The following is a 26,424-nucleotide window of genomic DNA, read 5'->3' as shown; positions in this document are numbered from 1 at the left end:
ATTTTGCTTCAGTGCTAAGTACCTATCCTTGCTTTGAATGGATATCTGAAACTGTTTTCTGTCTTGACTTTGTCCAGTTCCATTTTGGAAGAAGAGACATTTATAAAGTAGACAATGCCCTGTACATACCCCCACATCCTAAATATGAGAAGTAATCACAGCTTCCACGTACGGAGTGTTAATTACATGTGAGAGACTCTGACAAGTGCTTGATAGGACATTGTCTCATTTAGTCTTCACAAGCAACCCTGAGAGGCAGAGGTGCTTGTTCATCTGTTTTATGGATGCGAATAAGGAGACATCCAGTTATTCAGCAGCAGAAACAAGACTTGTATTCAGGACTTGGTTAAAGGCCAAACTCCAGCCATTCTTACAGTAATGCAATTCTCTCCAGCTTTTCACATATTTGTTTAAGTCTCCCCTAGGTTCTAGATGATCAGGGCTGTGTTTTGCCCTTCTTTGGGCATCACACAGTGCAATGTACATACTAACAGCTAAATGCATGATGAAACCTTTTCTTTTTCTTAATGAAAAAGGCAGAATACTAGATTTTTCAGATGGTGAGTGTGATCCATGCATGAAGTGGGACAGAAATGAATCAAGAAAGAAGTTTTGTCAACACAAGAATGAGAGACTCCTGTTTGGGCTTGTTGTTGAAGGTCCCATCTTATATCACAGAGGTCATGAAACTGGGAGCCAAACAAAAGGGCATATGTTGCTGGACGATAGATGTTCTGCTCACTCAGGAACCAAGACCACTTCAAAGTTTGCTTGGCTTGGTGGGAAGCTGTTGCCAAGGAGAAGAGTCCCTGTGTCCCAACTGCCCATAAATATGTCTCCAAACAGCAGGAAGGAGTTGTACAAAATGATTGTAGTAGCTGGAGCAGGGGGGTGGAGACTTGGGAAGTAGATTTGTCTCCTTCCACAGCACTGACTGAGCTAGGAAGCATTCCACATTCCAACTGGCCAAGAAAAACACAGCCCAGCACTGGTAGGGAGGCAGCCATCGGGGAACAGCTGAACCACCATGGTCATCCAGCCTCTCAAAGACTGTCACCGCAAGAGTGAAGCCAGAGCCTGCGGTTTCCTGTCATCCTCTCTGGGACACAGCTCAGTCTTCCAATGACTCATGGCCAGTGGCGTGCAAAGATTTCACGTCCCATCTCCAACAGAGCCCAACCTGTGCAGAGCCACGGCCGTTCCCACTGCTTCTTCCTCATGGGTTGCTTAATGAGGGGATTAATGATGACCAGGATGTGAGTGGACGTCTTCACATAAGCAGCCCGGCTGTAAAACTGGCCGTGCACAGGCAAGCAAAAACAAAGCGGGGGGGGGGTAACACTCAGCAGCACTGCACCAAGGCTTCTGTGTCTCAAGTCTTCTGGTCATGTGGGGAGAGGAGAGGAAACTGAAATTTATTAACTTCAGGCCTCTAGAGAGATGGTGAGGCTCAGTGGTTAAGAGTGTGGGTGTCAGATTGCATCCGGCTTCATCACTTCCTATTGGCTTAGTGATCTTGGGAAGTTCCTCAGCCCCTCTGAACCTCAATCTTTTCATTCAGAAAAAGGGAATGATAGTAGTCTCTACTGCATTAAGTGGTTTCGAAGATCAAATGGAGATTTATAAATGTAAAGTTTGGTAAATGTTAGCTTTTGTCGTTGTTATTTTTACCACCATTGATACTCAAGTTTAGTTGGTGATGGGAGCTGAAGAACAGTGGAAATTACTTCTGAAGGAATTAATACCAATTATAGAGTAAATGCTTTGTGGAAGTTGAACACTGGACTTCAGTTATTAATTGGAAGAGAGCCTTGCTCCTAATACCGGCTGTGTTCTGTGAATGATTAAGCCTAAAGACCTTTTGGGATCTGTGGTAACTCAGGAATAGACTGGCCAGGGTGACAGTCTCACTTCCCACTTGGAAACACTATTAATAATCCAACCCCCAACCATACCCAAGCTTGCTCTTCAGTTCTACCAAAATGTATTGAAGGCTCGTCACATGCCAGGCACTACTGGCATGGTGGGGAGGTGGGGGCATGAATATAACAGAGAGGTGTAACACATGGGCCCTGTATTCAAGACATGAACAGGTGAGATGAATATATGTACACTCAAGTAACTACCATGCAGCAAATCATTGCTCCAGTGCCGAAACAAACTACATGCAAGGCACATGGGGAGAGACTGATTCTGAGTGGGAATATCTGTGAAGTCTTCTTGGAGGATATGTGTTTTGAGATGAACCTCAAATGTCGATGTGAAGAGGAGGTAAACAATGTAGATAAAGGGATCATCTTTTGCAACAGTAGTAGCCTAGAGTAGACTAAAGGAATAAACTGGAAGATAAAGTTGAGGAGGTTGGAGAAGACCATATTCTGCAGAGTTTTGATGGTCAGGCTGAAAGATTCGGATTTTGTTATTTATATTGGGAGACAATATGCCTTGGGAATAGAAGCTCAGGCATTGACTCTGAAATGTATTTGAGTCATGGCTATACTTTGTGCACATGGTGTGACCTGAGAAAAACATTTCACCCTCTGGACCACAGTCTCCCCACTAGAAAGAAGGGCTCACAGCAGTGGTTCACTCACAGGACTGTGGATGTGCACAGGCTGCTCAGCACTGTTCCTCGGCATGGTACAGTCTTATAAATATTAGCCATTGCTGTCATCATCAGCAATCAAGAGGCTGTTGCAATAGCTTAGGGAGAAATGGTGAGCATCTGGGGTAGGACAGTGCCAAGCAAAAAGGAGGAATGCATGCACCTTTCAGAGGCAGAATAGGGAAGTGAATAGGGCTATTGGGCATGAGAAGTGAGAAGGGAGCAAGGATGACTTAAGGATTTGAACCTGGAGACCAGGAGTTTTGAAATGGTGTTACCAAGTTCAGGTCATGGAAAATGTCTCAGTTTGGGCTGTATTGAATCAAAGGTGGCTGGTAAATCCTTCAGATTGGTCTTTTTCCTGGGGATTTCAAAGGCAAATATCCAAATTTCAGTAGAATTTTTAGGACAAGAGACTTAGACTGGAGGATCATGCCTTTAGAAGTGAAAGTCAAGCCTTTGGAATGATAAATGGTCCTGAAAGGGTCTTTAAGAGCAATAATGTTGCTGGGAAATGGACATTATTAAATGTCTATTTATAAGAGAGGATAGAGGAAAAAAAATGGAAGACTACTAGGCAGTTACTATGTTTCTAAAACCAAGTGATGGATGTGTCAAACAGGCTGTGGTAGTCAGCGCAGCAAACAAAGATGAGGTCATTAGTTTGATTATACCTTCCATGAGCATCTCAGGAGAGTATAGGGAAGAAGCTAGTTTGTAAGGCATTAAAGAGAAAATAATGGGGAAATGTGGTGTGTGCTTCATTGTAAAGAAGTTCAGAAGTTAAAGGAATGTAAGAGAGAAAGGTAAGGACGTTGAAACAAATGTGAGTTTGGGGTAGAAACGATTTGAACAGTTTTGTAGAGTAGAGGAAACATCCACTGGAGAAAAATTAAAGATGCACCAGAGGAAAGAGGTTATTGTTGATCTAAGGAGAGTCAGGAAAATGTGTGAATTACAGATTTATAAGGATGTTCGTTTCAGAGCAAACAAAGACCTCATCTTATGTGGATTCCAGAGCAAGGAAGAAAGATTAGGTTTAAAGGCAAACAAAAAAAATTACTTTGGTAGCTGATGGAGTTCATGTTGGTGTACCTTTGCCTTCTAATAAACTATAGATTTTCCTTTAATAATTTAATGAGATTTCATAAGTTTTTATCAATGTGGAGGGATTTTTCTCCCTTAACTCTCTTGAGAGGCTGAGTAGAGTGGAGCAGGAATAACCACAAGAGTGGTTTGGAAGTCAGAAGTTCAGACCAGTCATAACCTCATTAAATCTCAGTGATCTCACCCACAAACGGAGAATGCCCACCAAGAGGATGAACTGTGGTTTAACTGAGATAATACATGTGTCTGACTTTGTAAAATTGATCTGTAACTAACTATACTTTATTTTTATCTGTCATATTTATCATATTGTGTTCTTGAAGCTATTTTTTTCAATACTTGAAGAGAGAATGATGCCTGGGACATGAGCGAAATGGAAAGTTTGTGCGTGCCTTATTTATGCTCTAGATAGTGCATGATGCAGAGGAAAGCAAGGCATATTTAGAAGCCAGTTCCTGTCAAATACTCAGAAAAGTGCCACTACAACGCTGTGGGGGGACTTCACAGATTTTCCACCAAGACAGTCTCCTTCTCCCCCAACTTTTTTCCAATGATATCGCCAACATGGTTTTGAATGACTCAAGCTTTGGGACGCATACCACTTCCCTGGTTATACACGTTTGCCATTTCCCAGATTTCATCATTAGGGCATTTCCTGAAATTCAGCCCAACATTTTCCTTTTTTTCTCATTTCAAAAAGGATTCTGTTTCAAGCCTCAGCTGTCAAATGGGGAACCCAACTGTGAACGGTAGCGCATTTGACTGTGACATCAGAGTTTCCAATGGGAATGCCGCTTTCCACCCCTGATATCAAATTCTCCCTTTGATTCAGGGCTTGAGAATAATGCACAAGTCTATACAGACCACACCGAGGTGCTACTGCTGGGGCCAATAGCAGCAGGACCCCAAATTGCCTTTGTGGTTGGCAGCCCACAAGAACTGTCTGCCAAGAACCCCCTTGGAAACTCATCACCTTTCCAAGACCCCGTTTTCAAGTAGATCAAAGTATTTTCCTCATCCTGGTGAAAGCCAGAGGTTCAGGTCAAAGTGAATGAGTGTGGGATTCTGAAGGAAGCTGGCAGAACATCAAAGACAATTGGGTGGGACCTGAGTCTTTTCTTTGAAAACTCTTTTCTATTGTTTCCCAGACTTTTTCAGTCTGACACATCATTGAACTTGCCCCTGTGCTCCCACCCCAGTCTCTACAACCCCTATTCAGCTTCCATTAGTTCCATCATCTGATCCTGAAATTCCTTAGGTGATTATGTGTTCCAAAAGCAAGTGACCACACATATGTACTGACCTATACATATGAATAACTGCCCATATCCACCTGCACTTACCTTATCCTAAGCCATAAACCCATAATTAAATTTTATTTTCTTTTATTCTGAAAGTACTTTTTTGTATCCAGAACACTTAATACACAGTTCTGTGTCTCCCCATTAGACTGTACACTCCCTGAGGACAGCAATCTTCTCTGTGCCCTTTCTCAGACCAGCACAGAGCCTGCTGCACTTAAAAAATTTGATAAATGGTTAGCGAACACTCTAGGTAATCTTAACCTTCCTCCTAATTTTAATAATTATCCATTTACGCTACAGCAAGGAATTTGGGGGAACTGAATTGTCACTCTTGATACTCCTGAAAAAAAATATATTTGAGACCACTGTTTTCTAATTTAGATCATAACGAAACAAGCAGTCATTATGGATATAATAAATACTCTAATAATTATAGCCATCCTAGGTCATATTCATTGAACACTGACGCTGTGTCGTGCAGATGCAACATGTGTTCTGCCATGTGTTATCTCCTTTGGCTCTTAATGTTGGAGTGCCCTGGGCTCAGCCCTTGGTCTTCACCTCTTCTGCCTCTATACTCTTGATGGTCTCACGTCAACTATATGCCACCGACCCCCAATTTCACGAGACCAGATTTCTCTCCCAAACTCCAAACTTATATATCCACTGCCTCCACCTGGAAGTCTAATAGACTTCACAAGTTCAATATGTCCAATACTTACTCTTTATCTTTCCGAAAAAGCTGCTCTACCTGCTGCCTTTCCCAGCTCAATTGATGGCAGTGCCCTCATTCCAGCGGCTCCGGCCAAAATCCTTACAGTCTTCTACATTCTACTTCTTTTCTCCTACATCCAACCCATAAAAAATCCTGCTGACTTTATCTTCAAAATATATCCAGAATTCAGCCATTTCTCACCACTTCCCTGGCTACAATTCCAGTCCAATCCATGCTCACCTCATTCCTAGGTTAGAGCTATACCCTCCCAATAGAGCTCTGTGCTGCTTCTGCTCATGCCCGATGGAATGGTCTCAAGAAAACAACATAAAATACATAGTATATATATATAATTTATTTTTTGGGATATAGTGTCACTCTGTTGCCCAGGCTGGAGTGTTTGTTTCCAGGAGGGGAGGTGTGAGAGAATTCCAGAATCTGTATAAACTAGAGTAGCTGAGACTACAGGCACGCACCACGACACCCGGCTATTTTTTGTATTTTGGTAGAGATGGGGTTTCACCATGCTGGCCAGGCTGATATTGAACCCCTGACCTCAAATGATCTGCACCCCTCGGCCTCCCAAAATGCTGGGATTACAGGCAAGACCCACCGCGCCTGACCTCAGGATACATATTTTATCAGATTGTGACCCTCCAATGATTCCCAGTTTCACTACAAGGAAAAGCCAGATTCTTTCCAAGGCCTGGCATGATTTGGGGTCCACTTGTCCTCTGACTTTATGTCTTGATACTCCTCCCATTACTCCCTGTCCTCCTTGCTATTCAAGTGAACATGCCAGGCAGGCTCCCACCTTCGAATATTGGCTCTAGCACTTCTCTCTGCCTACAGTGTTTTTCCTGCAAATGCTACTTGGCTAATTCATCACCCTTCCAAGTCTCAGTGAGGTTTGCTGAAACCATCTTCCTCATGCCACCACTTGCCCACCTGCCAACACCCCTCTTCTACTCACTCTGTACTATGTTTTCTTTTTTCCGTAGTGTTTCTCACCTCCTAGTATAGTGTAGAAAGTTACTTGTATATTATACTATTTGGTTATCTTTCTTTCCCTTGTATAATGCAAGCTACGTGAGGGTACAGTTTTTGTCTCTTTTGTTTGGAAAAGTGTCTGGCTCACGTTGTAGATACTCAGTAAACATTGTTGAATGAGTGGGTAAGAAATGCCAGATGTTCCTAGAGTCAAGATACTCAGGTCTCAGAGCTCCAAGTGGCTTCAATGCCCTGAGTGTCCGCACATTCTTACACCCTTCATGCTCCATCTCACACTCAAAAGCCCAACACACACCCCATACCCTAAATCCTCTAAATCCATTTCTACAGCCTGAATTTCTATCTTGAGAAACTACTTCTGTCTGCCAGAGAGTGGCAAGGCATCATTTCATTTGCCTGAAACCAAATCCAGTGAAGGACAGGAGCTTCTTTGTCACAAGCGGCTGCTTGGTGGGTAGAAACTAACAAAATGTGACCAGCATGGGCAGCTCCCCTGGCAAATTGTTCCTTGAAGAGAGAATTGCAGTCTGCACAATTCCCGCCAAGTGATTATCTTCTTCTGCTCTCGGTGCTTACTGAGAGGCGTGCTGGGCATGAACTGTCAAACCTCCAAGGGCAGTGATGGGAAAAGAGGCTTATTTTGGAGGCAAACAGGAATGTCTTCCATCTATCCAGAAGAGAGACTGTCTCCTGTTTTATTAACTACAGTTCCATTACTTGGCTACCGTCTTTTACAGGGTACAGGTTAAGGAATACAAACTCAACTCAAAGGCTTTCAATTCATTCAGGAGCAGGGTCTTTGGGAAATTTTCCATGAGCATCAGCAGAAATTAGCAGCCAAATTTTAGGATGAGGAAGTGCCAAGCTGCAGGTGGCAAACTTCTCAGGCATCATCTTCTTTTTCTTCTTCCTTTAAGACACCCAAGCACTGGGTGTTATCATCCCAGTATTTTTCCTGAGCTTTGATAAAAAAGAGACTTGCTTAGGCTTTGTTAAGCATTCTGAGGGAGAAATAACATAGAATCCCAGAGAGAATATACCTGATCCTTGACATTTCCATGAGAAACACCAAAAAGAAAGCAATTGATAAAGTAAGTTCATTGAATAAGGGGGACATAAGGCCACCTTTCCCACACAAACACATCCAGACATTCATATTTTCTATTTCTTCATATTCAACTCATTGTCTTAGTCAGCTTGAGTGTGCTTTTTTTTTTTAAATTACAAACTGGATAGCTTTGAAACAACATAACTTTATTTCTCACAGATCTGGGAGCTGAGAAGTCCAAGGTCAAGGCACTGGCAGTTTTAATTTCATGCCCACTTTCTGGTTAATATATGGCACTTTCTTGCTGTGTCCTCACCTAATGGAAGGGAGGAAGTAAGCTCTCTCGGAACTCTTATAAGGACAGTAATCTCATTCATGGGGCCTCAACCCTCATGACTTCATCTAGTCCTAATTACCTCCCAAAGACCCCACCTCTTAACATCACATTAGGGCATAAGATTTCAACGTAAGAGTCTGGGGGGTACACAGCATTCGGTCCACAATACTCACTATGTGCTCTACAGTGTATAGGATGAGTATCGGGTCTATTAAATCCCTTCCACCTAAGATCAGTTGTTCATCGCGATCCTACTATTATTTTACATGCCTCTCCCAGACTCCACGTTTTTTTTTTTTTTTTGTTCATGCTCAGTGTACTTAGCAACAGACCCAGGTCTATTCCATAAGGCATTTTCTCTCTCCCTGGATCATCTCCTGTTCATTATCATCTTATTTTTATCCTATTACATTCTAGATTTATTATCTATTATATTACATGCCTGGAGGGTGGGATTCATTTTGAGGAGAGGAGCTGTGAGAGAATTCCATACTGATCTCCCTTCTGTCTTTATGGCATCCTGTAATTTCAGACACTTGCCATTTCTATGCATCCACACTGGCCTCCCATACATCTGTTCTCCACACAATAACCAGAGTGACATTTTAAAAGCTCACATATGCCTACATTACCCTCATTGCTTAAAATTCTTCAGAGATTCCCATTGCTCTAAACTCTTCAGAGATTCCTATTGCTCTGACCCTCAAGCTCCATATCTCCAGTGTGGCCTCTGTGGTCCTGGGCACTCTGACTTTTGCAGGTCACTGGTCTGCTCTTACCCCTCTCCGATGCATGTTCTCACTGCTCCAGCCACCTTCGTCCTTATATTCATGAATTATCCAGACTCTGGACCCCAAAAAGCATTTATCAGGTATTCCATCTGTCTAGGATGCTCCCTCTGCCTTCACCTCCTCACCTGCCTCCTCTACCTAGCTAACTCACCTTAAGATTTCAGCTCAGCCATCATCTACTCAGGAAACTCCTTTGCCGGCCAAAACCCTGTCTTCCCAACCTGGCCCCTCCATCGGTGCCGCTGTAATGCCATCATGGTGTTGTGTGCTGCTCCTGTGTAGCACCACTTCCCTTGTTTTGTCTTCTGCTTTCTTTGTCTCCATTTCATCCTCTTTTCCTGGTAGACACTGAGCTCTATCAAAAGTGTTTTTGCCACTATTGTATCCTCAGCACATAGCATGTTCCCAAGAATAGTATGTATTTAATAAACAACTCATTCATTGAATAAACGAGTAAATGAGTAAATGAATAAAAGAAAATCTCATTAAGGCACTCTTATTTTATAATTGAAATTAAATGTGATTAGATATTGACCTTGCAAAGAACATGATCTAGTAATATATTAGTCAGGCTAGGTTATGCTACAGTAACAAATAACCCCAAAATTTGGGGGTTCAAACAACAAAGCTTCTGTTGGGAATGTAAAATGGCACCGCAAGGCAATTTCTTACTAAACTAAACACGTGCTTACCATATGACCCAGCAATTGCACTCTTGGGCATTTATCCCAGGGAAGTGAAAACTTATATTCATGCAAAATTCTGTGCATAAATGTTCATAGCAGCTCCATTCATAATAGCCCTAAACTGGAAACAACTCAAATGTCTTTCAATGGGTAGATGGTTAAACAAACTGTGGTGTATCTATACCATGGAACACTACTAAACAAGAAAAAGGGATCAACTATCTATACACACGACAACTTCAATATATCTCAAGGGAATTGTGCCAAGTGGAAAAAAGGTTACATATTTTTTTTGCACAACATTGTGAATGTAATTAATGCCACTGAATAATACGCTTAAAAATGGTTAGAATGATGGCCAGGCATGGTGGCTCATGCCAGTAATCCCAGCACTTTGGGAGACTGAGGCAGGTAGATCACCTAAGGTCAGGAGTTTGAGACCAGCCTGGCCAACATAGTGAAATCCCGTCTCTACTAAAAATACAAAAAATTAGCTGGGCGTGGTGGCAGGCACCTGTAATCTCAGATATTTCCGAGGCTGAGGCAGGAGAATTGCTCAAAGCTGGGTGGTGGAGGTAGCAGTGAGCCGAGATCATGCCATTTGCACTCCAGCCTGGGCAACAAGAGTGAAACCCCACCTCAAAAAAAAAGTTGTTAGAATGGCAAATTTTATGTTGTATATATTTTACTACAATAAAAAATTTCAAGGTCACATACTGTATGATTCTATTGATCTGTTCTTGAAATGGCAAACACGTAGATATGGAGAACAGATTAGTTGTTGCCAGGAGTCAGGGAGAGGGAGGAAGGGAGGGAGGTGACTGTGATTACTAAAGGGTAGCACTTGAGATCCTGTGCGGGGACTGCTCTGCTCTTTATCACACATGTGATAACATTTCGGGGAACTAAGTACACACAAGCACACATGCACAAAGGAGCACATGTAAAACTGGTGGCATCTGAATAAAGTCAGTGGATTTTATCAATGTCTATTTTCTGCTTATTGTATTATAGTTATGCAAGATGTTATCACTGGGGAAAACTGGATAAAAAGTAATAGGATCTCCTTGCATATGAGTGTATAAATATCTCACAAAAGAAATTAAGCAACAACAAAACACAGGTTTACTCCTCACTCAAGCTATATGTCCTCCTTGGTGTGGCTGGGGGTCCCGCCCATGAAAATAACACAGGCCATTGGAGCTTCTGCCATCTGGAGCTTCACCCGTCACCTCACCAGGGGAAGGAGATTTGGCAAATTACAGTCAGCCCTCTGTATCTACGGGTTCCACATCCACCAACTCAACCAACCACAGATGGAAAATATTAAAAAATAATAACAACAATGGAAATAATACAAATTTTAAAATAATATAGGCTGGGCACAGTGGCTCACACCTGTAATCCCAGCACTTTGGGAGGCCGAGATGGGCAGATCACCTGAGGTCAGGAGTTTGACACCAGCCTGGCCAACATGGTGAAACCCTGTCTCTACTAAAAATACAAAAATGAGCCAGGCGTGGTGGTGCATGCCTGTAATCCCAGCTACTAGGGAGGCTGAGGCAGGAGAATCGCTTGAACCTGGGAGGTGGAGGTTGCAATGAGCTGAGATCCCACCACTGTATTCCAGCCTGGGTGACAGAGTAAGACTCTGTCTCAAATAAATAAATAAATAATATAATATAATATAAGATAAGAACTACTTACATACCATTTACATTGTATTAGGTATTATAGGTAATCTAGAGTTGATTTTAAATATTTGGGAGGATATGCATAGTTTATATGCAAATACAACCCCATTTTATATAAGCACCTTGAGCATTCATGGATTTTGGTATCAGCAGGGGTTTCTGGAACCAATCCTCTGTGGATGCCGAAGGACGACTGTACTCCCTGACTCTTAAAGGCTTCCAGCTATAAGCAACATACATCATTTCCACTCATGTTTCATTGGTCAAAGCAAATCCTCTGGCTTTACTAACTTCTAGGAAGCAGGGAAGTTCAGCCTTGCTATGTGTCTGAAAATAAAATAATCAAAATATTGATAAAAGCACCACAGTCACAGCTGTTGATTAAGATTATATAAATGGTTAAAATACTTACAAAGCATTTAACATTTATGCCATTATCATGTGACCAATTAAATAAGCATCTTCCATTTAGCAATAAATTGAATGTAGGGAAATACAAAAATAAATATTACACTTGTCACTGTGGATAAAACTTTGTACTGGGCCTGAGTTTCACTCTTCAGAAAAAGTGAAATGCTAAAATGTAAGTTAAAATGCACCCATGTAACAAAGACAGTTTCTCCTTTTGCCCACTGAATTTTCATGGAAGTAATGCTTACATGTAGCTTTTCTAGCTGAAGGCGTAAGTAGTCAAAGCGTACCTGTAGCTTTTCTATCTGAAGACATAAGTAGTCAATTTAAAATGAAACTGACATGTGTGAAAAAGTTTGTACATGTTCAGGGAGGCTGTGTAGAAGGCATTGGGATGGGTGAGCATACATGGATCAGATTGATAAATTTGGAAGATCACAGGTGCAGGACAAACAACAGAAAAGCAAGGAGTTTGCTAAGAAAAGAAACATAATACCACTAATCAAGAAATAACCAGAAAGCTCTGAGAATAACCAACTGCATGTTGTAGTTGTAAGAAATTAAATAAAATATTTTGCTATGTAGAAACATATCTAAGACGTATTTTTAACATGCACCTTTTATGTATTTAATAAACAGCTTGTATGTATTTAAGAACACAATTATATTGATCAGAGTTGCTTAGGGTCAGGAACAACAGGAAACTCATGCTTAACGAGCATCCAGTGACTGGCATCACTGTCTATGGCACCCAACTTTAACCCACACGATGCTCTCGCATCTTTACTAGCACCCTATTTTACAAATGCATCAAGAGTCAGAAAAGTGATATTATGTCTCCAGAGCTGCCATTTGCACCTAGGACTGCCTGACCACTGAGTCTAGTAGACTGTGCTGTACCCCTTACTCATCATCAGTTCCCTGGGGTGGCACCACGTACAAGGGCTGCTGTGACTGGCTTCAGCCTCCTTTTCCAAACTCTGTTCACTGCTTCCTTCTATGGCCTCCAATCTCCAGCCAAAGGACATCTCTCACACTTCCTCAAGCCCAGCCTGCAAAATGCAGCCTCTGCCTCTTCAAATGCAGTTCCCCCTGCCCTTTCTTTCTTACCTCTTTACCCCAAATCTTACCGATTCTGCAGATCCTAGCTCATGTGCTACCTCCTTCAAGTCTTTCATCATCATTGCCTTAAAACTTTTCAGATACAAAGCAAGAAATTAATGAATGGATGAATGAATGAAGAGATAGGCAAATGGTGTTTTCCCCTAAAAGCTATGTTCTGTCCCCCTAATTCTTTCCCAAGCGTTTTGTGGTTGTTGTTATATTCTATTGGCTATTATGTAGCTATTTGAATTCAACTCAGAAGACATTAATTGCATTTTTATTATTGCAGAGTTCCATGCTGAGTAGGGAGGGGAATGCAACAGTGGATAAAACCCAGTCCAGTCTCTGCACTTTACGTTTTCACAAACCCTTTTGGTGAGTTCACCTCTAACGCACTCGAGCTCCCTCGTCAGACTCTCAGATCCTTGAAAGAGAAAGTACATTTACAGAGTGGGAATGCTACTTCATGCTTTTTTCTAAGAGAATTCTGACTTACATCAACATCCTTCAACAAGAGCAAAGCTCAGTGTAGAATAACTCCATTCCTGGCCAAGTCAAGACCCGCCAGGCTCCGGGATGCCTGGCTTCATCACTCAGGATCGCAAATAGCCTATTGCGGCTTTAGCTGGTTTGAAATGATAAGGTTGGGAAAACCAAACAGTACTGCCCCAGTGTTCATAAAAATAAGCAGAAATTAGAGAAGCCTTAGCATTCTTAAGAGTTATCATTTATTATGATAACCTTGCTCATTTCAAGAGTGATCCCGGAACAGTAAAAAAAATTAAAATAAGATGGCAATGTAATACTACTATTTAAAATAAAATCATGGATTAATACCAGAAAACTTCAGATTATTCCATTTAACTTCATGTAGAGGAGTCTGCAAAATTAAGTGACTCAGGCTTTTTATTTATAGAAACAACTTGGATGTTGGTCTGAGAAGTGAGATAAAGTTTTCAAATAAGCTCAAGTCATAGAGAATTGTAAATAATGAAGAACCATGTGGATGGAAAATGAATCTTTTAAGTACCCTAATTGATAGGAGAAGCATTTCATATTAGATAAAACCTAATAAAAATATTTAAAGACAGGATGTAAAAATTATACACACACACACACACACACACACACACATATATATATAATCATGAAACCTGCATCACCATTTTGTATCCCAAGGGAAAACAAGAAGAAAAAAATAAAAAGGAAAAGTTGTATTGCTATTTAAAAAAAAAAAAAAAAAGTAAATTTCTTCCTGCTTGCTCCACAAGAGGAACCTTGGAACTAAAGTGTGGGGCACAGACTGGCTGAGGACCCAGCTAGCCAACAGCATTCCCTGGTCTGAATTAGCAAAAGGCACCCTCTGGGTGGATTCAGCACTTTGAACATGTGGCTTGACATCTGAAGAGTCGGTTTCAGCTAAGGAAAGTTGTCTGCCTCCCAGGAAATGCAGCCCTGCCTAAGTGCTGGACTGTAGCTCCCCGGTCCCCTTGCAGTAGGACATACATTTCACAATGGACCCCACCGGCCCCCTGGAATTCTGCATAAAATGTCTGGGGGAAAAGCATTGGATTGTATTCCCCATTCTAATTTTTGAACTAATCTTCACCTCTCTGAGCTCAGTTTCTTCCCCTGCGGATTGAGAAAGTGGTGCCCATCAGACCTACTCCAATGGGAAGGATCAGATGAGCTTACTCATGGGGAAAGGCTGGGTTAATTGCCCACCATCGTATAGGAGTAAAACTATCCATGTTGAATAAGCCATCCCTCATTTACGTTTCAGAGAATAAAATGTTTTCCCATTTTACATCCTAATGTATTCTTATTTTGACATTTTAAAGTGCATTTATTTTCCAATTTTGTTCATTTAGATTTGTTTCTTCAAGTAAATTAATAATTATAATAAATTGAAACATGATAATGATTACCATTTACAGACCACATTTCCATGTGCCAGGCATTGTATCAAGCACTTCTAATATCTTTGTGGTCTCATGTCATCCTCACAAGGTGAGGAGTGTTACTTCCTCCATTGTACAGATGCAAAACCTAAGACACAAAAATTAAATAACAAAAAATAGCACACAGAGGGTTTAAATGAACATCTTTGTGATCCACAGCTTTTCCTCCCCAAAATTTCATTATGGAAAATTTGAAACAGAGATAAACAGTAATGACTCTAGGCTACCACCTCACTTTTGGCATAATGCTGTTCATCCTCTTTATATTATTCTAATATTGTAGGAGGATTTCTTTTCGTTACAGGGTGGATAGAATAGAGAGAGGATTTTTTATACAGTTGAGGTACAGCTATTAATAGTTGGCCTCCACCACCAGTTCAGGAAGATGGGAGAAAAACTAATGTCTGCGTTGTAATAGTTTTTTTTTTTTTTTAGCTTCTGCAAGTGCGAATTTAATGCCTAACATCATTCTTAGAATCATTTATTCTTGCTAATAATTGCAGCAATAACAATTCAGAATCTCTGCAGCTTTGGCAAAGGTGGTCAAGGAAATAAACATCGTATTTAATTAAGTCTCTATTGAGAGTAAGTGGAAGGTGCTTAATCATGTTCATGAGCCTCTAACTACACTCTCTTATCAGAGACTCCACTCGGGACACTCTGTAGCTTCTTACAACTGACAGGCTACAAATCATGCCCTGGACTGCACCACTGATTCTTTTGAAAAATATCACCTGCAACTTGTGCACCTCATGCCTCCAAATATTAGACTCTATTTATGGAACCCATCCTGTACAAATCGTCCTGACTTTAGAAAACCTTCCCAGTATCAAAACATAGGCATCCCTATTGGGCTCAAAATATCTGATTCCCATAGGCTTGAGCAATGTAGAGTTGCTCATTCAAAAGCCCAGCTTCTTCTCCAGGTTTCTGGTTTGGTGATAATCAAGAGAACTTTTGAGCGATTACTGTGTCAAGTAATGAATTGGGCACTTAAGAATGATCTCTTTTAACGTTAAGAACAATCCTATGAGGTAGTTAACACCCTCATTTTATAAATAGGGAACCAATCTTAAAGTGATTATTTGTCCAGGGTTCTCTTTTTTCTGAGCACATGAGAATCCTAGTTGGCTTGACACTAGCTCAGTTTTAACCACAACGTGCTAATACCTCCCAGGCTAGGCATTGGCTCCAAAGAGACAATGAGGCTCTATCACACCTCTCTCCCCTGTGAGCCCTCCAGCTGCAGTGAATCAAAAAAGAGCACTCTCTCAGATGGAACCAGGATTAGTCTACTGGTCGAGTCCACATATTAATATTTTGCCATTCCAGATCTGAGCCACAATCCACTCCTCCGTGCCATGCTCTGGAAGCAATTCAGGAAGTAAAAGAGGATTCACAGAGCCATTGCGATCAACCCAACATGGTTTGTTGAAGAATTGAAGGACTTGGAAATCACAGTTCCTTTGCTTCCCCTCTTTTATGGTTATATGCTCCTTAGGAACAACACCAGAGAGTAGGTGTCCCCCAGGCATAAGTTTTCACCCACACACATCAGGATAAGCTTCTGTTGCATCCGCACTTGAGCTAATCTCAAAGGAGACAATTTGGGGAATTTCGATCATGCTCGCCTGGTGTCACAGCCCTCCCAGCAGCAAGCAATGCTTGGATCCTTATGGGAAATTCAAGTGCTCACAATTCCAGCTGTGCAATGGATGTCATTCTCACTTTGTCTTCCACTGGTGTGGGGTAGTTGCGGAAATGCTACATCTGTCATCCTTACTTTCAAGAAAAAAAAGTCTCTATTACAAGGCTATCTATAGTTTTTCCAATGTTTCTGCAAAGAAGGGGAAAAGAGGATGTGTTGAAAGACATGGCTGCCTGTGGACACTGCTGAGTAAATTTTGGCCAGTGTGGTGTAGTCATGAAGCTCCAAAAACATATATTTTTTCCTGGTTCAAAAGGGAAGGGAACAGTTCCCCACTGCACTAGAAAAGTGCTGGGACTTGACAGACAAAGACAAAACCTACTCTTGCCACTTTTCTCTGAAGTGTTTCCATAAGCCCAAATTTCTGGGTGGTTACAAGTAATTTGCTTCAACTTAATTTCTTTCATTCAAGTTTTTGGAAAAAAAAATCTGTCACAGGCAATGGAAAATAATTAAGACATTAGCCCAGTGTTGGATGTTCAGACAGCAAGCTGCATTAACCTACATGTCAATGTTGAATTACAGTATTACCAAACATACAGTGGAGACAGAAAGTCAAGGAGAGAAACAAATGAGCCCTGGTCATATTCCACTCGTTAAGTTCCTTGCCTTTCTGCTCTGGCCATCATCTTCTCCAGTCCTCTGCTGCTATCTCTTGAATGAATTGACTCTGCCAACTTCGAGGATCCTCCTTAGTAATCTATTCAATATGTGCATTCCCTTTGGAAGGAATACAGTAGTCTGGTGTGCGTTTTCTATCTGCTCCTAATTTCCTATCCTGTGAATTATGTCATCTAGTTTTTGTGCTTTTGCCAGTGGGAAAAGACTGTCTAGATCAATTTGGTTGGACCACCTCATATCCCTAGGAACACCAATTAGATCACCACAAAGCTGACTCATGCCTAGGAAGACCACCCTCAGTTTCCTCTACTGTCCCTTAGTTTAAACACTTAGCCTTAGGAAGGCTCTCGGAGATGTCATCTGACAAACAGTGCTTCTGCCTAATCCAGTCCTATAGTGGGTCAGGTTTGTACACATCTTGCAAAAGCCACAGACATATGCTGAGATATTCAATCTACAAGGAGATGTATTCTGGCTCTGGAGGGTAGATTTTGATCCAGGAAGTGAGATTTTTTTATTCCCACCCTCCTGAATTTCATCAGAGCAGCTACAGAGGATGTGGGAAGCTCTTATGATTTCCAGACTGACGTTATTAGATTAGAATGTAAGGGGTAATGCAATGCTCACATCTACACAAACGGCGAAGAATGAAAAGAACTTCACGTCAAATTACCTGGATCACTGTTTCCATTGTTTAGTTTGATGTCCATGGCAAAACACATACTCGGAAAATTTTGTAAAGTATTTTAATCCAATCTTGTCTTCTTGGCAGAATCCATTTAAAGGGATGGAAGATTGATGTCCATGGCATCCTCTGAACCTAAGATCCTAAGACATGTCACCCATAATCTGGTCACACCATCCAAAAGAAACCCTGAAGGCACAGGAACATGAAATGTTCAAACATACTTTGAAGACAAAGCATATTTTCTTCTTGTTGTCTTCTCTACTCTGTGTTAATCATTTGGTTAATGGATATGGGTCAACTAAAAATTGGACTTGTATTTAGAAGTCATTAAAGGGAAAAAGGGAGAAATTTGTTTGGCTGTCCAGCAGGACTCTGAAAGCTGGTACCTGCCATGCTTGTCTGGGAAGAAGAGGCATGAATGTGACCTTTTGGGTAGAACACAAATAGCCAGCATTCCTTATGCTTGTGGCTCCAACGGCCCCAGGGCTGTCCCTGGAAATTGATTATAGAAGCTCTTGTCAGGGTCCTGGCTTCTGAAGCCAAATCTAATTAGAGATGAGCAACCACAGCCCCATTCGTTCATGGCTAGAATCTGCTCTCCTCTGAACCAATCAGACTGTAGCTGTACCTGCATGGAGGGGAAAAGAACTTGTTCCTGGACTATGTTTCTGTGTTATAATGAATCAGACCAAGGGCTGGGTTATTTTGCTTGGTTATCCCAAATACTTGACTCTATGCACCCTCTGCTCTGGCTGTCATAGTCCCTTTGCTGCCACCAGTAATAAAAACACGTATCGGTTAAAATAGAATAATTCCAGAACCATCACAGATAACTAGCTACATATTCCAGATGCCCATAAGACGGGAGGTGTCTTCAATTGGAAACATCACAACCATGGTTTTGTTTGTTCAATTTACATAAATTAGCAGCTGGTTTCTCAATTTCCTCCACCAAAGTCAATACTCACAAGGAAACATTTTTATAGATGACAGAAGTATTAATTGCCTGGAAGTCCCTAAATTGGAATAACATTCTTTTTAGAGCAAGACCTGATATTGTATTATTTTATTATAATTGCATTACATGAATATACTGTTGTTTCAAATCATACAGGGTACATGAAACATAATAAAAAGATTCCCTTCAAACATCGCCATTCTCCATATACACAAACATGGATCCCCTCTATTTCCAGGAAGAATATTGCTGTTGGCAGTTTTTGACATACACTTCCAGAATATTTTCAATTAAACTAAATATTTATGTTTTTGTTTTTCTGTTTCATATACTTATAGCTTACACATATCAGGTTAACTTTTTAAAAAAATTAATATGCCTTGGAGCCTTTTCCATGTAAGCATATATACATTTTATCACCTTCCTTTTAATTGAGAATCTATCACCTGGTCTCTTTCCCAATATTAGGGGAAATGTTTCCAATATCTCACCATTTAGCATGATGCCTCCCATAGGTTTTCGTAGATTTCTTTCTATCCAATCAAGGAAGTTCCTTCTATTCTTAGTTTGCAGAGAGTTTCTCATATTGAATAGATGTTAAACTTTGTCAAATATTTTTCCATACAGCTATGGAGATGATGATTAAATTAGTTTTTGCTTTCTGTTTATGTGCTGAACTACATTGATTTATTTTCTTTTCTTTTTTTTTAATTATACTTTAAGTTTTAGGGTACATGTGCACATTGTGCAGGTTAGTTACATATGTATACATGTGCCATGCTGGTGCGCTGCACCCACTAACTCGTCATCTAGCATTAGGTATATCTCCCGATGCTATCCCTCCCCCCTTCCCCCACCCCACCACAGTCCCCAGAGTGTGATATTCCCCTTTCTGTGTCCATGTGACCTCATTGTTCAATTCCCACCTATGAGTGAGAATATGCGGTGTTTGGTTTTTTGTTCTTGCGATAGTTTACTGAGAATGATGATTTCCAATTTCATCCATGTCCCTACAAAGGACATGAACTCATCATTTTTTATGGCTGCATAGTATTCCATGGTGTATATGTGCCACATTTTCTTAATCCAGTCTATCGTTGGACATTTGGGTTGGTTCCAAGTCTTTGCTATTGTGAATAATGCCGCAATAAACATACGTGTGCATGTGTCTTTATAGCAGCATGATTTATAGTCCTTTGGGTATATACCCAGTAATGGGATGGCTGGGTCAAATAGTATTTCTAGTTCTAGATCCCTGAGGAATCACCACACTGACTTCCACAATGGTTGAACTAGTTTACAGTCCCACCAACAGTGTAAAAGTGTTCCTATTTCTCCACATCCTCTCCAGCACCTGTTGTATCCTGACTTTTTAATGATTGCCATTCTAACTGGTGTGAGATGCTATCTCACTGTGGTTTTGATTTGCATTTCTCTGATGGCCAGTGATGATGAGCATTTTTTCATGTGTTTTTTGGCTGCATAAATGTCTTCTTTTGAGAAGTGTCTGTTCATGTCCTTTGCCCACTGTTTGATGGGGTTGTTTGTTTTTTTCTTGTAAATGTGTTTGAGTTCATTGTAGATTCTGGATATTAGCCCTTTGTCAGATGAGTAGGTTGCAAAAATTTTCTCCCATTTTGTAGGTTGCCTGTTCACTCTGATGGTAGTTTCTTTTGCTGTGCAGAAGCTCTTTAGTTTAATTAGATCCCATTTGTCAATTTTGTCTTTTGTTGCCATTGCTTTTGGTGTTTTGGACATGAAGTCCTTGCCCATGCCTATGTCCTGAATGGTAATGCCTAGGTTTTCTTCTAGGGTTTTTATGGTTTTAGGTCTAACATTTAAGTCTTTAATCCATCTTGAATTGATTTTTGTATAAGGTGTAAGGAAGGGATCCAGTTTCAGCTTTCTACATATGGCTAGCCAGTTTTCCCAGCACCATTTATGAAATAGGGAATCCTTTCCCCATTGCTTGTTTTTCTCAGGTTTGTCAAAGATCAGATAGTTGTAGATATGCGGCGTTATTTCTGAGGGCTCTGTTCTGTTCCATTGATCTATATCTCTGTTTTGGTATCAGTACCATGCTGTTTTGGTTACTGTAGCCTTGTAGTATAGTTTGAAGTCAGGTAGCGTTATGCCTCCAGCTTTGTTCTTTTGGCTTAGGATTGCCTTGGTGACGTGGGCTCTTTTTTGGTTCCATACGAACTTTAAAGTAGTTTTTTCCACTTCTCTGAAGAAAGTCATTGGTAGCTTTATGGGGATGGCATTGAATCTGTAAATTACCTTGGGCAGTATGGCCATTTTCACGATATTGATTCTTCCTACCCATGAGCATGGAATGTTCTTCTGTTTGTTTGTATCCTCTTTTATTTCCTTGAGCAGTGGTTTGTAGTTCTCCTTGAAGAGGTCCTTCACATCCCTTGTAAGTTGGATTCCTAGGTATTTTCTTCTCTTTGAAGCAATTGTGAATGGGAGTTCACTCATGATTTGGCTCTCTGTTTGTCTGTTATTGGTGTATAAGAATCCTTGTGATTTTTGTACATTGATTTTGTATCCTGAGACTTTGCTGAAGTTGCTTATCAGCTTAAGGAGATTTGGGGCTGAGACAATGGGGTTTTCTATATATACAATCATGTCATCTGCTAACAGGGACAATTTGACTTCCTCTTTTCCTAATTGAATACCCTTTATTTCCTTCTCCTGCCTAATTGCCCTGGCCAGAACTTCCAACACTATGTTGAATAGGAGTGGTGAGAGAGGGCATCCCTGTCTTGTGCCAGTTTTCAAAGGGAATGCTTCCAGTTTTTGCCCATTCAGTATGATACTGGCTGTGGGTTTGTCATAGATAGCTCTTATTATTTTGAAATACGTCCCATCAGTACCTAATTTCTTGAGAGTTTTTAGCATGAAGGGTTGTTGAATTTTTGTCAAAGGCTTTTTCTGCATCTATTGAGATAATCATGTGGTTTTTGTCTTTGGCTCTGTTTATATGCTGGATTACATTTATTGATTTGCGTATATTGAACCAGCCTTGCATCCCAGGGATGAAGCCCACTTGATCATGGTGGATAAGCTTTTGGATGTGCTGCTGGATTCGTTTTGCCAGTATTTGATTGAGGATTTTTGCATCAATGTTCATCAAGGATATTGGTCTAAAATTCTCTTTTTTGGTTGTGTCTCTGCCAGGCTTTGGTGTCAGAATAATGCTGGCCTCATAAAATGAGCTAGGGAGGACTCCCTCTTTTTCTATTGATTGGAATAGTTTCAGAAGGAATGGTACCAGTTCCTCCTTGTACCTCTGATAGAATTCGGCTGTGAATCCATCTGGTCCTGGACTCTTTTTGGTTGGTAAACTATTGATTATTGCCACAATTTCAGCTCCTGTTATTGGTCTATTCAGAGATTCAACTTCTTCCTGGTTTAGTCTTGAGAGAGTGTATGTGTCGAGGAATTTATCCATTTCTTCTGGATTTTCTAGTTTATTTGCGTAGAGGTGTTTGTAGTATTCTCTGATGGTAGTTTGTATTTCTGTGGGATTGCTGGTGATATCCCCTTTATCATTTTTTATTGCATCTATTTGATTCTTCTCTCTTTTTTTCTTTATTAGTCTTGCTAGCGGTCTATCAGTTTTGTTGATCCTTTCAAAAAACCAGCTCCTGGATTCATTGATTTTTTGAAGGGTTTTTTGTGTCTCTATTTCCTTCAGTTCTGCTCTGATTTTAGTTATTTCTTGCCTTCTGCTAGCTTTTAAATGTGTTTGCTCTTGCTTTTCTAGTTTTTTTAATTGTGATGTTAGGGTGTCAATTTTGGATCTTTCCTGCTTTCTCTTGTGGGCATTTAGTGCTATAAATTTCCCTCTACACACTGCTTTGAATGCGTCCCAGAGATTCTGGTATGTTGTGTCCTTGTTCTCGTTGGTTTCAAAGAACATCTTTATTTCTGCCTTCATTTCGTTATGTACCCAGTAGTCATTCAGGAGCAGGTTGTTCAGTTTCCATGTAGTTGAGCGGTTTTGAGTGAGATTCTTAATCCTGAGTTCTAGTTTGATTGCACTGTGGTCTGAGAGATAGTTTGTTATAATCTCTGTTCTTTTACATTTGCTGAGGAGAGCTTTACTTCCCAGTATGTGGTCAATTTTGGAATAGGTGTGGTGTGGTGCTGAAAAAAATGTATATTCTGTTGATCTGGGGTGGAGAGTTCTGTAGATATCTATTAGGTCCACTTGGTGCAGAGCTGAGTTCAATTCCTGGGTATCCTTGCTGACTTTCTGTCTCGTTGATCTGTCTAATGTTGACAGTGGGGTGTTAAAGTCTCCCATTATTAATGTGTGGGAGTCTAAGTCTCTTTGTAGGTCACTGAGGACTTGCTTTATGAATCTGGGTGCTCCTGTATTGGGTGCATATATATTTAGGTTAGTTAGCTCTTCTTGTTGAATTGATCCCTTTACCATTATGTAATGGCCTTCTTTGTCTCTTTTGATCTTTGTTGGTTTAAAGTCTGTTTTATCAGAGACTAGGATTGCAACCCTGCCTTTTTTTTGTTTTCCATTTGCTTGGTAGATCTTCCTCCATCCCTTTATTTTGAGCCTATGTGTGTCTCTGCACGTGAGATGGGTTTCCTGAATACAGCACACTGATGGGTCTTGACTCTTTATCCAATTTGCCAGTCTGTGTCTTTTAATTGGAGCATTTAGTCCATTTACATTTAAAGTTAATATTGTTATGTGTGAATTTGATCCTGTCATTATGATGTTAGCTGGTGATTTTGCTCGTTAGTTGATGCAGTTTCTTCCTAGTCTCCATGGTCTTTACATTTTGGCATGATTTTGCAGCGGCTGGTACCAGTTGTTCCTTTCCATGTTTAGCGCTTCCTTCAGGAGCTCTTTTAAGGCAGGCCTGGTGGTGACAAAATCTCTCAGCATTTGCTTGTCTGTAAAGTATTTTATTTCTCCTTCGCTTATGAAGTTTGGTTTGGCTGGATATGAAATTCTGGGTTGAAAATTCTTTTCTTTAAGAATGTTGAATATTGGCCCCCACTCTCTTCTGGCTTGTAGGGTTTCTGCCGAGAGATCCGCTGTTAGTCTGATGGGCTTCCCTTTGAGGGTAACCCGACCTTTCTCTCTGGCTGCCCTTAACATTTTTTCCTTCATTTCCACTTTGGTGAATCTGACAATTATGTGTCTTGGAGTTGCTCTTCTCGAGGAGTATCTTTGTGGCGTTCTCTGTATTTCCTGAATCTGAACGTTGGCCTGCCTTGCTAGATTGGGGAAGTTCTCCTGGATAATATCCTGCAGAGTGTTTTCCAACTTGGTTCCATTCTCCCCATCACTTTCAGGTATACCAATCAGACGTAGATTTGGTCTTTTCACATAGTCCCATATTTCTTGGAGGCTTTGCTCATTTCTTTTTATTCTTAAACTTCCCTTCTCGCTTCATTTCATTCATTTCATCTTGCATTGCTGATACCCTTTCTTCCAGTTGATCACATGGGCTCCTGAGGCTTCTGCATTCTTCACGTAGTTCTCAAGCCTTGGTTTTCAGCTCCATCAGCTCCTTTAAGCACTTCTCTGTATTGATTATTCTAGTTATACATTCTTCTAAATTTTTTTCAAAGTTTTCAACTTCTTTGCCTCTGGTTTGAATGTCCTCCCGTAGCTCAGAGTAATTTGATCGTCTGAAGCCTTCTTCTCTCAGCTCGTCAAAGTCATTCTCCGTCCAGTTTTGTTCCATTGCTGGTGAGGAACTGCGTTCCTTTGGAGGAGGAGAGGTGCTCTGCGTTTTAGAGTTTCCAGTTTTTCTGCTCTGTTTTTTCCCCATCTTTGTGGTTTTATCTACTTTTGGTCTTTGATGATGGTGATGTACAGATGGGTTTTTGGTGTGGATGTCCTTTCTGTTTGTTAGTTTTCCTTCTAACACACAGGACCCTCAGCTGCAGGTCTGTTGGAATACCCTACCGTGTGAGGTGTCAGTGTGCCCCTGCTGGGGGTTGCCTCCCAGTTAGGCTGCTCTGGGGTCAGGTGTCAGGGACCCACTTGAGGAGGCAGTCTGCCCCTTCTCAGATCTCCAGCTGCGTGCTGGGAGAACCACTGCTCTCTTCAAAGCTGTCAGACAGGGACATTTAAGACTGCAGAGGTTACTGCTGTCTTTTTGTTTGTCTGTGCCCTGCCCCCAGAGGTGGAGCCTACAGAGGCAGGCAGGCCTCCTTGAGCTGTGGTGGGCTCCACCCAGTTCGAGCTTAAGGGCTGCTTTGTTTACCTAAGCAAGCCTGGGCAATGGCGGGCGCCCCTCCCCCAGCCTCGCTGCCACCTTGCAGTTTGATCTCAGACTGCTGTGCTAGCAATCAGCGAGACTCCGTGGGCATAGGACCCTCCGAGCCAGGTGCGGGATATAATCTTGTGGTGCGCCGTTTTTTAAGCCCGTCCTAGAAGTGCAATATTCGGGTGGGAGTGACCCGATTTTCCAGGTGCGTCCGTCACCCCTTTCTTTGACTCGGAAAGGGAACTCCCAGACCCCTTGAGCTTCCCAAGTGAGGCAATGCCTCGCCCTGCTTCGGCTCGCGCACGGTGCGCGCACCCACTGACCCGCGTCCACTGTCTGGCACTCCCTAGTGAGATGAACCCGGTACCTCAGATGGAAATGCAGAAATCACCCGTCTTCTGCCTCGCTGACGCTGGGAGCTGTAGACTGGAGCTGTTCCTATTCGGCCATCTTGGCTCCTCCCCCGACTTTACATTGATTTATTTTCACATGTTAAAATACTCTTGCATATGTGGAATAAACCCCACTTGGTCATGCTATATTATCCTTTTCATATACTGCTAGATTCTATTTGCTAATATTGTGTAACATTTTTACATTTATATGAAGGAAAGAGTTTGTCGTTTTTCTTTCTTACAACTCCTTCGGTTTTGGAATCAGTTTATGCTGGCCTCATAAAAAGAATTAGGCAAGAGTCTCTTTTTTTCTACTTTCTAGAAGCCTTTGTACAAGATTAGTTTACCTTTTCCTGAATTTTGGAAAAAGGCACCAATGAAGTCTTCTGTGCTGGGAGTTTTGTTTGTGGAGAGGTTTTTAATAATGAATTCCATTTCTTTAGTAGATACCAAAGCATTCAGATTTCTGTTTCTTCTTTTGTCATCTTACATAATTTGCATATCTCACAGAATGTGTCCATTTCAACCAAATTTCCAAATGTATTGGCCTAAGGCTGTTTGTTGTAACATACTATTTGCTTTTTAATATCTGTAGGGTCTGTGGTGAAAATTTTCTCTTTCTTGATAGTTTCCCTTTCTTTTTCAAAGTTCTTCTTGGTAGCAGTTTATTCAATTTTATCAGTCTTCTCAAGGAAATATTTTAGGATTTTTAAATTCTATTGTACTTGTTGTTTTTCTATGTAATTCTTTTATCATATAGTACAAGAAAATTCTGGTCTCTGCCTGTGGTAGGCAGAATAAGGGTCCCTCAAAAATATCCACATCCTAATCCCTGGAATCTGTGAATATGCTACCATACATGGCAAAAAGAACTTTGCAGATGCAATTAAGGTTTTGGTCCTTTAGATGAGGAGATTATCCTGGATTTTCCAGGTAGGCTGAATCTAATCACAGTGTCCTTAAGAGTAGAGAACCTGTCTCAGCTTCACACAGAAAAATGGAACATGAATAGGATTCAACCTGCTA

The 26,424-nt window shown here is 41.1% G+C and overlaps 1 long non-coding RNA gene across 1 annotated transcript in view, besides 2 other annotated features; it reads left to right on the top strand.

Moving 5' to 3' along the window:
* The window catches only part of LOC124906243 (uncharacterized), a 207,146-nt gene extending 189,156 nt beyond the window's left edge, over positions 1-17,990 (top strand). The window contains exon 3 of the long non-coding RNA XR_007095917.1: positions 17,876-17,990. This is a non-coding gene — a long non-coding RNA (uncharacterized LOC124906243). The remainder of the gene's footprint in view (positions 1-17,875) is intronic.
* Positions 426-1,625: an enhancer, noted in NCBI's record as "BRD4-independent group 4 enhancer chr3:55194201-55195400 (GRCh37/hg19 assembly coordinates)". NCBI's record gives its function as "activates an origin of replication core promoter dependent on BRD2, P300/CBP, MED14 and CDK7 cofactors, and independent of BRD4, by STARR-seq in HCT116 cells {active_cell/tissue: HCT116}" and the evidence as "EXISTENCE:reporter gene assay evidence [ECO:0000049][PMID:35650434]".
* Positions 12,617-12,781: a silencer, noted in NCBI's record as "fragment chr3:55183044-55183208 (GRCh37/hg19 assembly coordinates)". NCBI's record gives its function as "represses an EF-1alpha promoter that drives an FKBP-Casp9 reporter gene in an ReSE screen in K562 erythroleukemia cells {active_cell/tissue: K562}" and the evidence as "EXISTENCE:reporter gene assay evidence [ECO:0000049][PMID:32094911]".
* Positions 17,991-26,424: the final 8,434 nt, after the last annotated feature.

This window comes from Homo sapiens, chromosome 3 (assembly GCF_000001405.40).
Source record: "Homo sapiens chromosome 3, GRCh38.p14 Primary Assembly".
NCBI classification, from domain to species: domain Eukaryota; kingdom Metazoa; phylum Chordata; class Mammalia; order Primates; family Hominidae; genus Homo; species Homo sapiens.
The sequence above is the reverse complement of the archived record's forward strand: the minus strand, read 5'-3'. Positions and strand labels throughout refer to the sequence as shown.